The following is a 13509-nucleotide window of genomic DNA, read 5'->3' on the forward strand; positions in this document are numbered from 1 at the left end:
GCAGTCAGACCTTATGGTTGTCTTCCCTTGTTCCCTGAAAATCACGATTATTCTGTTCTTTTTCAAGGTGTACTGATTTCATATTGTTCAAACGCACGTTTTACAGTTTGTACAGTTAACACAATTATAGTGGCCCTGAGGTGATGTACATCCTCAGTTTATGAAGATAACAGGATTAAGAGATTAAAGTAAGACAGGCTTAAGAAATTATCAAAGTATTATTTGGAAACTGGTAAATGTCCATGAAATCTTCACAATTTATGTTCCTTTGCCACAGCTCCAGCCGGTCCATCTGTTCAGGGTCCCTGACTTCCCACAACACCTGGCTTCTATTACTTTTTTAAAATTAGCTTTTTTCTTTTTTTCGAGATGGAGTCTCACTCTGTTGCCCAGGCTGGAATACATGGTGTGATCTTGGCTCACTGCAGCCGCCGCCTCCTGGGTTCAAGCGATTCTCTTGCCTCAGCCTCTCGAGTAACTGGGACTGCAGGTGCAATACAAAAAATGCAGAACTTTTGTATTTTCTGTAGAGATGGGGTTTCGCTGTGTTGTCCAGGCTGGTCTCAAACTCCTGAGCTCAAGTGACATGCCCACCTTGGCCTCTCAAAGTTCTGGGATTATAGGCATGAGCCACTGCATCCAGCCTTATTATTATTATTTTTTTTTGAGATGGAGTCTTGCTCTGTCGCCCAGGCTGGAGTGCAGTGGCGCGATCTCGGCTCACTGCAACCTCTGCCTCCCGGATTCAAGCGATTTTCCTGCCTCAGCCTCCTGAGTAGCTGGGACTACAGGCATGCGCCATCACACCGAGGTAATTTTTGTATTTTTTGGCAGAGACAGGGTTTCACCATGTTGACCAGGCTGGTCTTGAACTCCTGACCTCAAGCCATCTGCCCACCTTGGCCTCCCAAAGTTCTGGGATTATTTTTTAAGCAGTTTTGATAGGTGTGTACCTAGTAGTGCTCTGTGGTTTAATTTGCATTTCCCAGGGAGTGGGGGCACTGCCTGTCTTCTCACGCCTCAGTTGCTTGTTGCTGTGACGGTCGCCCACTCCTCCTGCCAGTGTCTGTGCTGCTCACGGTAGCTGCATCAGCTTCACGCTGTCCGCCCTTCGCCACCCACCGCGCCTGCTGCTCAGGAATGTTCCAAGCAACTTGGTGGTAACAGAAGCTGAGAACAGCCCAGATGTCCTTCGGTGCAAGAGTGGATGGATCAGTTGTGGTCTATTCACAGAATAGAATGTGACCACACTGGAGATGAATGAATTGTAGCTACAATCTGCAGTGTAGACGAATCTTAGGAACGTAGGCGTTTCAGAAGCAGATCAAGCCAGGCACGATGCTGTGTGCCTATAGTCCCAGCTACTCAGAGCCTGAAGGTGGGAGATCACTTCAGCCTGGGAGTTTGAGGCCAGCCTGGGCAACATAGCAAGACCCTGTCTCAAAGGAAAAAAAAAGCAGATTACAGAAAAGTAAATCCAGTGCTAGGCCGTATTTTTAAGCTCAAAAAATTAAAACTAATTAGCGTTTAGGGATAAACATGAGGTAATTTTTTAGAAGCAAGAGAATAGCATTGAATTTAAGGTATATATGGGGAAAATGAAACTTCCAAGTTATTGATAATTTTCCAGTTTTTAAATTAGAGACGGGATCATGGTGTTTATGCGTCATAATTTATATGTTCCATATATTTTTTGTTGTTTTTTTGAGACGGAGTCTCGCTCTGTCACCCATGCTGGAGTGCAGTGGCGCGATCTCGGCTCACGGCAAGCTCTACCTCCCAGGTTTACACCATTCTCCGCCTCAGCCTCCCGAGTAGCTGGGACTACAGGCGCCCACCACCATGCCTGGCTAATGTTTTTGTATTTTTGTAGAGACGGGGTTTCACTGTGTTAGCCAGGATGGTCTCGATCTCCTGACCTTGTGACCCGCCCGCCTTGGCCTCCCAAAGTGCTGGGATTACAGGCGTGAGCCACCACGCCCGGCTGATATGTTCCATATATTTCTTTCTGTATTTCACATAATACATAGTAAAATATTTAAAACAGAACAAAAATAGACTTCCTTTTAAGATGTTTTCATATCTGTTCTTACAAAGTTGGCCACAGTTTTTCCCCAACAGTAGTTTGAGTTCAGCAGCAGCTCTTTTATAAAACGTTTGCTGCACACACTGAGATTGCACCTGGAAGTACAGAAATAAGAACACACGTATTTTATTTTATTTTTTTACCCCTGAAGATCTTTAAGTCTTCTGAGGAGCATGGACCTGCTAGACTGCAAGCTGCTGCATTCTGAGGAGCAGGGACCTGCTAAACTGCAAGCTGCCGCAGGCGGAGATTTTTGCCTGTTTGGTTTATTTTGTTACCACTGAGTCCCCAGCTCTGAGAACAGAGCGAGGCATGTGATCGATGCATCGTAACTGTTGAGCAAATGAATGCTGAGCTGTGATGGCACCGACGTGTCCGGGGAGAGGACGCACCCGGCTGTGTGGACATGTGCCCAGGGCCCAGGACAGCGCCACGGAAGAGGACACACCCGGCTGTGTGGACATGTGCCCAGGGCCCGGGACAGCGCCACGGAAGAGGACGCACCCGGCTGTGTGCACATGTGCCCAGGGCCCGGGACAGCGCCACGGAAGAGGACGCACCCGGCTGTGTGCACATGTGCCCAGGGCCCGGGACAGCGCCACGGAAGAGGACGCACCCGGCTGTGTGCACATGTGCCCAGGGCCCGGGACAGCGCCACGGAAGAGGACGCACCCGGCTGTGTGGACATGTGCCCAGGGCCCGGGACAGCGCCACGGAAGAGGACGCACAGGACAGCGCCACGGAAGAGGACGCACCCGGCTGTGTGCACATGTGCCCAGGGCCCGGGACAGCGCCACGGAAGAGGACGCACCCGGCTGTGTGCACATGTGCCCAGGGCCCGGGACAGCGCCATGGAAGAGGACGCACCCGGCTGTGTGCACATGTGCCCAGGGCCCGGGACAGCGCCACGGAAGAGGACGCACCCGGCTGTGTGCACATGTGCCCAGGGCCCGGGACAGCGCCACGGAAGAGGATGCACCCGGCTGTGTGGACATGTGCCCAGGGCCCGGGACAGCGCCACGGAAGAGGACGCACCCGGCTGTGTGGACATGTGCCCAGGGCCCGGGACAGCGCCACGGAAGAGGACGCACCCGGCTGTGTGGACATGTGCCCAGGGCCCGGGACAGCGCCACGGAAGAGGACGCACAGGACAGCGCCACGGAAGAGGACGCACCCGGCTGTGTGGCAGGGGAGGTTCCCAAGAGCAGGCTCAGGGCTCTGGGGTCTGAGTGAGGGCTCTCCAGCCAGCAGGGAGCAGGGCAGGGTGTTGAAGAGACGGCAGGTGCGTCAGGGGCTGACGTGGGACCCGGCACTCTGTGCTCTGTGTCTGCCCGGGAACAGGTAGTCCTGCGTCGGACCGGGAAGTGTGGTGGGTGTGGTGGGGGAAGGGGCTGGCGTCAGCAGGGCTCTCGTCCGCCAACGTCTGGTGGGGATGCCCGCCATGCGGGGGCCTCAGGCTACAGCCAGGGCTGTGAAGGAGCCGAGGTCATAGAGTGGCTGCCCTGGCGTAGGGAGGGAGGACACGGGTCCCCGCCATTTCAGAAGCTCAGCGTCCCTGCACGTGTGCGGTCTTGTCTGCCTAGGCATGTGTGCGGGCCCTGGGGCTGCTGCCAGCAGAACGGACTGGGATACGCTGGATTTGTAAAACGTGACCCTTTTTGTTTGCTTTTAATTTTTAATTTTTATTTATTTATTTATTTTTGAGACTGAGTCTGACTCTGTCACCCAGGCTGGAGTGCAGTGGTGAGATCTCGGCTCACTGCAACCTCCCCCTCGAGGGTTCAAGCGATTCTCCTGCCTCAGCCTCCTGAGTAGCTGGGATTACAGGTGTGTGCCACCACACCCAGTTAATTTTGTATTTTTAGTAGAGACAGGTTTTCTCCATGTTGGTCAGGCTGGTCTCGAACTCCTGGCCACAAGAAGCAATCCACCTGCCTCAGCCTCCCAAAGCCTTGTTTGCTTTTTTTTATTTTGTTTTGTTTTGAGACGGAGTTTCACTATTGTTACGCAGACTGGAGTGCAACGGCACGGTCTCAGCTCGCTGCAAACTCCACCTCCCGGGTTCAAGTGATTCTTCTACCTCAGCCTCCTGAGTAGGTGGGATTACAGGCATGTGCCATCACGCCCGGCTAATTTTGCATTTTTAGTAGAGATGGGGTTTCTCCATGTTGGTCAGGCTGGCCTCAAACTCCTGACCTCAGGTGATCCGCCCTCCTCAGCCTCCCAAAGTTTTGGGATTACAAGCTTGAGCCACCGTGCCCGGCCACCTTGTTTGCTTTTTAAAGATAATGATGTCACTAAAAGAGTTCTGACTGAGGCCGGGCCTGGTGGCTCACACCTGTAATCCCAGCACTTTGGGAGGCCGAGGCTGGTGGATCACGAGGTGTGGTGATCAAGACCATCCTGGCTAACACGGTGAAACCCCGTCTCTACTAAAACTGCAAAAAATTAGCCGGGCGTGGTGGCGGGTGCCTGTAGTCCCAGCTACTCAGGAGGCTGAGGCAGAAGAATGGCGTGAACCCGGGAGGCGGAGCTTGCAGCAAGCCGAGATAGTGCCACTGCACTCCAGCCTGGGAGACAGAGCGAGACTCCGTCTCAAAAAAAAAAAAAAAGAGTTCTGACTGAAGGTTGGAACTTAGCCCTCCAGAAATGAAGACTGCGAATAACGCTGATGGCAGCTCGTCACTTGCAGCAGGTTGCAGCACGTGCTGCTCGTGTAGCTGCGGCTGCACACCAGGCCTCTCCTTTAACTGTGTTATAACCTTTCTGTTGACATGGGATCCCCTTGAAAGTTTTTTTTTTGGAGACAGGGTCTCACTCTGTCACCCAGGCTGACGTCCAGTGGTGCAATTTCAGTTCACTGCAACCTCCTCCTCCCGGGTTCAAGCCATCCTCCTGCCTCAGCCTCCCAACTAGCTGGGATTACAGATGCACACCGTCACACCCAGCTAATTTTTGTATTTGTAGTAGAGATGAGGTTTCACCACGTTGGCCAGGCTGGTCTCAAACTCTTGATCTCAGGTGATTCAACCACCTCAGCCTCCCAAAGTGCTGGAATTACAGGCGTGAGCCACCACTCCCGGCCCCCTTGAAATTTAAACCAAGTTTAGGAAGAATGAAGTTGTGAGGTGCTACTTCAAACATCAGGTGGCAAACTCCCGGACTCATTACCCCAAGGAAATAGGCAGTCCAGGTTGGTGGCTCACGCCTGTAATCCCAGCACTTCGAGAGGCCGAGGCAGGCGGGTCACCTGAGGTCAGGAGTTCAAGACTATCCTGGCCAACATGGTGAAGCCCATCTGTACTAAAAATACAAAAAAATTAGCTGGGTGTGGTGGCGCGCGCCTGTAATCCCAGCCACTTGGCAGGCTGAGGCAGGAGAATCGCTTGAACCTGGGTGGTGGAGGGTGCATGGAGCCAAGATTGCACCATTGCACTCCATCCAGTTTGGGTGACAGAGTGAGACTCTGTCTCAAAAAAAAAAAAAAAATAGACATCAGAAAGGGTTGGCTCCTGTGATCTCGGCACTTTGGTGACCATGACCCAAGGCAGGAGGATCACTTGAGCCAAGGAATTCAAGATCAGCCTGAGCAACATAGACCCCGTCTCTGCAAAAAATTTCTAAAAACTTAGCTGGCATGGTGGCTCACGCCTGTAGTCCCACCTATTCAGGAGGCTGTGTTGGGAGGATCACTTGAGTCTGAGAGGTTGAGGCTGCCATGATCCCTTATCACACCACTGCATTCCAGCCTGGGTGACAGAGCAAGACCCTGTCTCCAAACAAACAAAAAAGCAAAAAATGGTGTTTTACCTAGGTATTTACCATTTCCAGTGGTCTTCATTCCTTTCTAAAAATCTAGGTTTTAGCCGGACATGGTGGCTCATGCCTGTAATCCCCAGCACTTTGGGAGGCTGAGGCGGGTGGCTCACCTGAGGTCAGGAGTTCCAGACCAGCCTAGCCAACATGGCAAAACCCAATCTCTACTAAAAATACAAAAATTAGCCAGGCGTGGTGGTACGTGCCTGTAGTCCCAGCTATTCAGGAGGCTACGGCAGGAGAATCGCTTGAGCCTGGAAGGTGGAGGTTGCAGTGAGCTGAGATTGCACCACTGCACTCCAGCCTGGGCAACAGAGTGAGACTCTGTCTCAAAAAAGAAAAAAAAAAGAATAAGTCACATTTTGGTGAGGAGCAGTGGCTTGCACCTATAATCCTGGCACTTTGGGAGGCTGAGGCAGGAGGATCACTTGAGACCAGCCTGGGCAACAAAGCCAGACCGTGTCTCTATAGAAAATTTTAAAGTTAGCTGGGCATGGTGGCACATTCCTGTAGTCTTAGCTGCTTGGGATGCTGAGAAGGGAGGCTTTCTTGAGTCCAGGATTTCAAGGCTGCAGTGAGCCAAGATCGCACCACTGCACTCCAGCCTGGGCAACAGAGAAAAACCTTGTTTCTAAAAAAAAAAATTAGGCTGGGTAGGGTGGCTCACACCTGTGATCCCAGCACTTTGGGAGGCTGTAGCAGGCGGATTGCTTGAGTCTGGGAGTTTGAGACCAACAAGATCCTGACTCTATAAAAATTTTAAAAAATAGCTGGGCGTGGTATTGCACACCTGTAGTCCCAGCTACTCAGGAGGCTGAGGTGGGGGGATCAGCTGAGCCCAGGAGGTCAAGGTTGCAGTGAGCTGAAATGTGACCACTGCACTCCAGCCCGGGCAATAAAGTCAGGCGGGGAAAAGAAAGAATGAGTTAACATTTTCTCAGCTTTATGTGTTGAGTGATTTTGGATTCTATCCTGAAATGGTAAGAATGAAAAGAAAATCTGCCAAGTCCATCCGTTCCTACACTCTCACTGCCTCCAAGTCATTCTGCGCTCTTGAGCCAGAACGACCTGGCCGTTTTTAAAAATGGAGTTTTTTGCCTTAGTAATTGACTTGTGTAAGAGTTCTTTATTCCACTTGTGAATTGTTTTTTATACGTACATAATGTAAATATTTTCTCCCCTTCTGTGCCTTTCAGTATGAATCTATCTGAACTCGATTCTGCTGTTGTGTGTGTGTCTTTTCCTCAGTACCAGATGGTCTTGATTACTGTAGATATATAGTATATGTCTTGAAATCAATAGGGTAAATTCTCTAACTTTTGTTCTTTTTATTAATGTTGCTGTGGCTAATCTGTCTGCTACATTTCCTTATACATTTAAAAAAATCAGTATCAGTTTCTGCAAAAAAAAATCCTCTTGGATTAGGGTTAGGCTTCTGTCAAGTCTACAGATCAGTTTGGGGAGAACTGACTTCTTTATATCGAGGCTTCTAATCCGTGAACATGAGGAATCTTTTTCTTATCTTTAGTATCTTAGCAATTTGTGGTTTTCAACGTACAGATTTCATAGGTCTTGTTATTTCTTTTTCTTTTTTTGAAACAAGGTCTCACTGTGTCACCCAGGCTACAGTGTGGTGGCACGATCATGGCTCACTGCAGCCTCGAGCTTCTGGGCTCAGCCATCCTCTTATCTCAACCTCCTGTGTCACTAGGACCACAGACATGAGCCACCATGCCTATTTAACTTAAAAACAAAAACAAAAAACCGGGCACGGTGGCTCATGCCTGTAATCGCAGCACTTTGGGAGGCCGAGGGGGGGATTGACTGAGGCCAGGAGTCCGTGACCAGCCTGGACAACATGGCAAAACCCTGTCTCTAAAAATACAAAAATTAGCTGGGTGCAGTGGTGCGTGCCTGTAGTCCCGTGCCTGCGGCATGGGAATGGGTTGAGCCTGGGAGGCGGAGGTTGCAGTGAGTTGATGACTTAGGATTTTTCTTCTCGGTCACTTTGCAAGCCGGGGACCCCTGGCCAGTGATGCCCCACCTGGGCCCTGCTTGGCCACACTGGCGTGCCCCAACTCACCTGTGTTATAGCTTGTACTGTGTTCGGCCATTCCCGAGCTCATGTACCGCACTCAAGATCAAGGATACACTGGACATTGAAGGGTGAGGAGGGCGGAGAAGAACTTTATTGAGCAGTGAAACAGCTTTCAGCGGACCAGGGGATGCAGGGGTGGTTCCCCTACCTGAAGGCAGGAAAGTCCGCCTGTGTGGCTGGGTCTGGGGCTTTTTATGGACTCAGGATGCGGAGTGCTTGCAGAGCTTGCTGATGGGTTTGTGAGTATGCAGAAAAGGTTAAAGTGGGCATGACAGTGTAGAAAACCAATTATAAGAGGCCGGGCACGGTGGCTCACGCCTGTAATCCCAGCACTTTAGGAGGCTGAGGCAGACGGATCACAAGGTCAGGAGTTCAAGACCATCCTGGTCAATGTGGTGAAACCCCATCTCTACTAAAAATACAAAAATTACCTGGGCGTGGTTCGCGTGCCTGTAGTCCCAGTGACTTGGGAGGCTGAAGCAGAAGAATCGCTTGAACCCGGGAGGCAGAGATTGCAGTGAACTGAGGTCACACCACTGCACTCCAGCCTGGGCAAACAGAGCGAGACTCCACCTCAAAAATAAAAATTAGGAAAGGGTAGGTATGTGTAAAATAGGTGAAGGATGGGGATCAATCAGAGGAAAGTGTGGCAAACAGGAAGGCAAGTTCTTCATCTAGTCTGAGGATTTAACTTGTAGCTCAGCTGTCAGGCTTTAAACTGTCTTTGGCTTGGAGGTGGGTTTCACCGGGAACCCGCCCCATCTGCCTGGCATTCAGCTGCCTCCTGCCAGTATCACCGAGATCGCGTCACCGCACTCCAGCCTGGGCAACAAAGCGAGACTATCTCAAAACCCCATATTGATGTCATTTCCTAAATATTTGGTTAAAAAAAAAATCTGGGCCTGGAATTTTATCTGGTTTTTTTTTTTTTTTTTTTTGAGACGGAGTCTCGCTGTGTCGCCCAGGCTGGAGTGCAGTGGTGCGATCTCTGCTCACTGCAAGCTCCGCCTTCCGGGTTAACGTCATTCTCCTGCCTCAGCCTCCCGAGTAGCTGGGACTACAGGTGCCTGCCACCACTTCCGGCTAATTTTTTTGTATTTTTATTAGAGATGGGGTTTCACTGTGTTAGCCAGGATGGTCTCAATCTCCTGATCTCGTGATCTGCCCGCCTTGGCCTCCCAAAGTGCTGGGATTACAGGCGTGAGCCACGGCGCCTGGCCTTCTGGGGATTTTTTATTACAAATATAACTTTATTAACAGATGCAGGCCTATTCAGATTTTCTATTTCATGTCAGTCTTGGTAAATTGTAATTTTCAAGATATTTGTCCATTTCATCTAATTTTTCTAATTTCTTGGCATGAAGTTGTTCGTATTTTATCCTTTTCACGCCTCTAGGATCTGTAGTGATGTCTTTCCTCATGTTGCTCAAAGAACCAACTCTTTTGGCTTTGTTGAAGTTATCTGTTTGTTTTCATGGATTTCTGTTCCTTATGATTTCCTTGCTTGCATTTATGTTGGGTTTATCCTGTTACTTTGTAGCTTCCTGAGGCGGAGCCTTAGGCCTTGATTAACGTGTTGTACTAGTCAGCATTCTGCAGAGGAACGTTGCCATTATCTGTGTCTCTTTCTAAAGGAGATTTGTTATGAGGAATTGGCCCACGTCATTATGGAGACGGAATCTCATGCTCTGCCATTTGCTGAAGATTGAGGAAAGCAGTGGGATAATAACAGTCCAAGGACAGGAGGAGACACGTGGCCCCGCTCAGGCTGGCAGGCGAGAAGGAAAACCCAGGCCAACTCCTCCTCCCACCCCTTTCTATTCGGGACCCCCGTGGACTGGGACGACACTCACCTGCACAGGGCAGCGCAGTTGGCTTCATGGAGCCCCCAGCTCAGGTGCTGCTCTTACCAAGAAACACCCTCCCAGGCACACCCTGAAGTCATGTTTCATCTGGGTGCCCCACGATGCAGCAAAGGAGACATGAAATTAACCGTCATGTACACTGTATTTATTATTCAATTCAAAACATTTTCTAAGTTCCCCTGGGATTTCTTCTTTGAGCTACATGTTAGCCGGAGGTGTGTTGTTGAATATCAAGAGTATCTTCCTCCTGGGTTTCCAGTTTGTAGCTAAGTCAGGGATAGTGCTGTGTGTGACCTCATTCCATTACGTTTATTGAAACCAGCTTGAAGCCCTAACATGTGGCTTGTCTTAGTGTACAGCATTCAGTTAAAAACAATGTGTGTTCTCTAGATGTTGGGTGTTCTGTGACTGTCACGTCATGGTGGTTGATTAGTTAGAAACAATGTAGAAACAATGTGTATTTGCCAGGCGCTGTGGCTCACACCTATAACCCCAGCACTGTGGGAGGCTGAGGCAGGCGGATCACCTGAGGTCGGGAGTTCAGCCTGAGGTCGGGAATTCAAGACCAGCCTGGCCAACATGGAGAAACCCCATCTCTACTAAAAATACCAAAATTAGCTGGGTGTGGTGGCACATGCCTGTAATCCCAGCTACTCCTGTGTGAGGCTGAGGCAGGAGCATTGCTTGAACCGGGGAGGCGGAGGTTGTGGTGAGCCGAGATCGTGCCATTGCACTCCAGCCTGGGCAACAAGAGCAAAACTGTCCCCCCCCCCAAAAAAGAAAGAAAGAAACTGTGTGTTCTCTAGATGTTGGGTGTTCTGTGAAGATCAGGTCATGGTGGTTGATAGTGTTGTTCAGAACATCGATGTTTTTCCTGATTTTTGGTCTGTTCTGTCGATTTCTGAGAAAGTATTAAAATTAAAGTTGGGTCTTGCATTTTTATCCATTCTGTCAGTCCCTTACTTTAATTGGAGTTTTTTGTCCACTAACATTGAATTTAATTGTTGATATGTTTGGATTTAGATCTTCCAACTAATTTTCTATTTGTTTCCTGTGTTGAGTTACTTTTTCATTTTTCTTGTAACTTTTTAGCTTATACCTCTTTGCATTTTTTATGCAGAGGTTGCTGTAAGGATTACAATATGCATGTTTATTTTAATTAATTAATTTATTTTGTTTATTTATATATTTGTTTTTAAGGAACAGGGTCCCTGTCTCCTGGGCTCCAGTGCAGTGGAGTGATCATAGCTCACTGCAGCCTCAAACTCCTGGGCTCAAGCGGTCCTCCCGCCTCAGCCTCCCAAAATGCTGGGACTACAGGTGTGAGCCCCTGTGCCGGCCCACAGTACACAGCTGCAGTTCTTCAGGATCTCTTGGGGTGGCCGTATTCTGCCGTCTCACACTTCTCCATGCCATGGCGTCTGTCTGTGCACGTGGCAAACTCCACAAGGCAGTGTTGGATTCTTTTGCTTTGAACGGTCTTATGGAATAAAGTCCATCAGCTCTGCCCTTGGTACTTTCATCTATACTTTGTGATACTTTCTTTTTATTTTTTCTTCTAGAATAGCCTAACATGGCAGACCAGAGACAGCGCTCACTGTCTACCTCTGGGGAGTCATTGTACCACGTCCTTGGGTTGGACAAGAACGCAACCTCAGATGACATTAAAAAGTCCTATCGGTAAGTGGACAAGTGTGGCCCCCACATCCCCCCAGGAAGACACACATGCCCCGTGTGGTTTAGTCTGCATTTTACCAAGAACCATTGCACATACTTTATCCTGGCCGACTCAGCGTTGAACTGGTCACAGCTCGGTAACACCTTTGTATGTGTAATGTGCTCCTTATAGCTTAAAGTTATGGTATTCATGTTCTCTTGCCAACAAAAAATAGCACTTAGTAGAAACTGACACACTGTCCACAGTTCCATAGGGAGTCAGGGTCTGAACCTGTTTGAGGCCTCACAGGAGCCGCAGAGCGCTGGCATGGTCCTGTGGTCTCCTTGTTTTAGCACAGTGATGACAGAGACCCCTCACTCTGTTGTGGCCTTCTGATTGAGCTTGAAGAACTGCACTCTTGGGTACAGTTTCATTGAGTAACCTGTAAGAGACACCATCACTAATCCAGACAATTCAGATAGTCCTCCTCTCGTGTGCTAGCATCGTGTAGTTCATAAAACACTTCTTAAAGTGCCATCATTACGCCCCGCCGTGCTTACCGTTCACTTGGCACTTGTGCAGTTAGCGGCTGGGACACCAGGGCTGGCCTTGGTGCCGCTGAACTTAGATGTGCCGTGGCACTCACAGCCCTTGGGGCTCCCTCCTCTGAGGCTGGGTCAGGGTGAGGAGGTTTACCTGAAACAACCGCGGAGCTTGCTTTTGTCCCTGGCCCCTGCAGCCCTGGAGAGTCGGACAGTGAGGTGGCCTGGGTGGACCTGCCTTCCACTGCACCCGGCAGTGCGTGCGGGTGGGATGGACGCGGCGGCGGGTGCGGGTGGAACAAAGTCCAGGGTAGAGCCAGGACATGGTTTTGGTTTGCAGGAAGCTTGCCTTGAAATATCACCCCGACAAGAACCCCGACAACCCGGAGGCCGCGGACAAGTTTAAGGAGATCAACAACGCGCACGCCATCCTCACGGACGCCACAAAAAGGAACATCTACGACAAGTACGGCTCGCTGGGTCTCTACGTGGCCGAGCAGTTTGGGGAAGAGAACGTGAACACCTACTTCGTGCTGTCCAGCTGGTGGGCCAAGGTGAGGGCGAGCTGCCTGCCGTGCGGGCACCCGAGTCACTCCTGCCGTGCGGGCACCCGAGTCTCTCCTGCCGTGCGGGCACCCGAGTCACTCCTGCCGTGCGGGCACCCGAGTCTCTCCTGCCGTGCGGGCACCCGAGTCTCTCCTGCCGTGCGGGCACCCGAGTCACTCCTGCCGTGCGGGCGCCCGAGTCACTCCTGCCGTGCGGGCACCCGAGTCTCTCCTGCCATGTGGGCACCCGGGTCACTCCACGCCTGCAGGGTTCCCAGCATTGCAGAGCCCATGCGTTGATGCCAGCAACTCTACACTCCTGAGAAAAGGCTTCTGGGCATATGGAGCCTTTCTCCTCACCTGTGTGATGGGCGAAGCTCTGTCACTGGCTTGGTGTCCTGCCTGGAACAAGCCATAGCGTACAGATTGTCCCAGGGAAGAGCCGTGCGGAGCCGCCAGGGTTTCTTCTGTAAATGGCTCCCAGTCCTTCGTGAGACAGGAGGAAATAAGCCTCGATGTTACATCCGCATTTCTTCGTTTCCTCGTTTTGTTCCAAATGTCATATATGAGGCCAGAGGGTTGGAATCACTGCATGGCATTTGTGAGAAGCCTGTATTTGGCTTTGACTGGTCGGCCTCCTCACTAGAATCCTTATAAAGTACTTTTTATTTAGTTAATGTTAGACAGAGTCTCGCTCTGTTGCCCAGACTGGAGTGCTGTGGTGAGATCCTGGCTCACTTTAACTTTGAATTCCTGGGTTCAAGTGATCCTCCCACTTCAGCTCCAGAACTGCAGGAGTTGAGGCGTGAACCACTGTGCCCAGCCTGGAGGCTGCTTTGTTTTTTTTTTGAGACGGAGTCTCGCTCTGTTTCCCAGGCTGGAGTGCAGTGGCGCGATCTT

General features: G+C 50.5%; 2 protein-coding genes and 5 non-coding genes across 13 annotated transcripts in view, besides 1 other annotated feature; all 7 read left to right on the plus strand.

Annotated features, from left to right (window-relative positions):
* DNAJC5 (DnaJ heat shock protein family (Hsp40) member C5) overlaps window positions 1–13509 on the plus strand; it is a 40886-nt gene that overhangs the window by 21782 nt on the left and 5595 nt on the right. For 2 of the 7 annotated variants that reach the window (XM_047440509.1, NM_025219.3), the window contains exons 2-3: window positions 11428–11545; window positions 12405–12618. In XM_047440509.1, coding sequence (XP_047296465.1) covers window positions 11439–11545; window positions 12405–12618 — 321 coding nt within the window. In that variant the 5' untranslated portion in view covers window positions 11428–11438. Of the gene's footprint in view, window positions 1–666; window positions 812–9264; window positions 10081–10394; window positions 10416–11427; window positions 11546–12404; window positions 12619–13509 lie in introns of those variants that run through there. The other 5 variants (XM_047440511.1, XM_047440508.1, XM_047440510.1 and 2 more) reach the window with 5 other exon arrangements.
* Window positions 852–3528, plus strand: LOC124904951 (uncharacterized). The gene has a single exon (XM_047440634.1). The coding sequence runs from the start codon at window positions 2493–2495 to the stop codon at window positions 3429–3431; it is 939 nt and encodes a 312-aa protein (XP_047296590.1). The 5' UTR covers window positions 852–2492; the 3' UTR covers window positions 3432–3528.
* MIR941-1 (microRNA 941-1) lies at window positions 2542–2613 on the plus strand. Its single transcript, NR_030637.3, has one exon. It is a non-coding gene; the product is annotated as a microRNA 941-1 (primary transcript).
* Window positions 2598–2669, plus strand: MIR941-2 (microRNA 941-2). Its single transcript, NR_030638.4, has one exon. It is a non-coding gene; the product is annotated as a microRNA 941-2 (primary transcript).
* Window positions 2654–2725, plus strand: MIR941-3 (microRNA 941-3). The gene has a single exon (NR_030639.3). It is a non-coding gene; the product is annotated as a microRNA 941-3 (primary transcript).
* Window positions 2847–3549: an enhancer, noted in NCBI's record as "H3K27ac-H3K4me1 hESC enhancer chr20:62551107-62551809 (GRCh37/hg19 assembly coordinates)". NCBI's record gives its function as "activates a minimal SCP1, AML or CMV promoter by ChIP-STARR-seq in naive H9 embryonic stem cells {active_cell/tissue: H9 hESC(naive)}" and the evidence as "EXISTENCE:reporter gene assay evidence [ECO:0000049][PMID:30033119]".
* On the plus strand, window positions 2849–2920 carry MIR941-4 (microRNA 941-4). Its single transcript, NR_040032.3, has one exon. It is a non-coding gene; the product is annotated as a microRNA 941-4 (primary transcript).
* Window positions 2961–3032, plus strand: MIR941-5 (microRNA 941-5). Its single transcript, NR_128719.1, has one exon. It is a non-coding gene; the product is annotated as a microRNA 941-5 (primary transcript).

The sequence above is a fragment of the Homo sapiens genome, chromosome 20 (assembly GCF_000001405.40).
Source record: "Homo sapiens chromosome 20, GRCh38.p14 Primary Assembly".
Classification (NCBI taxonomy): domain Eukaryota; kingdom Metazoa; phylum Chordata; class Mammalia; order Primates; family Hominidae; genus Homo; species Homo sapiens.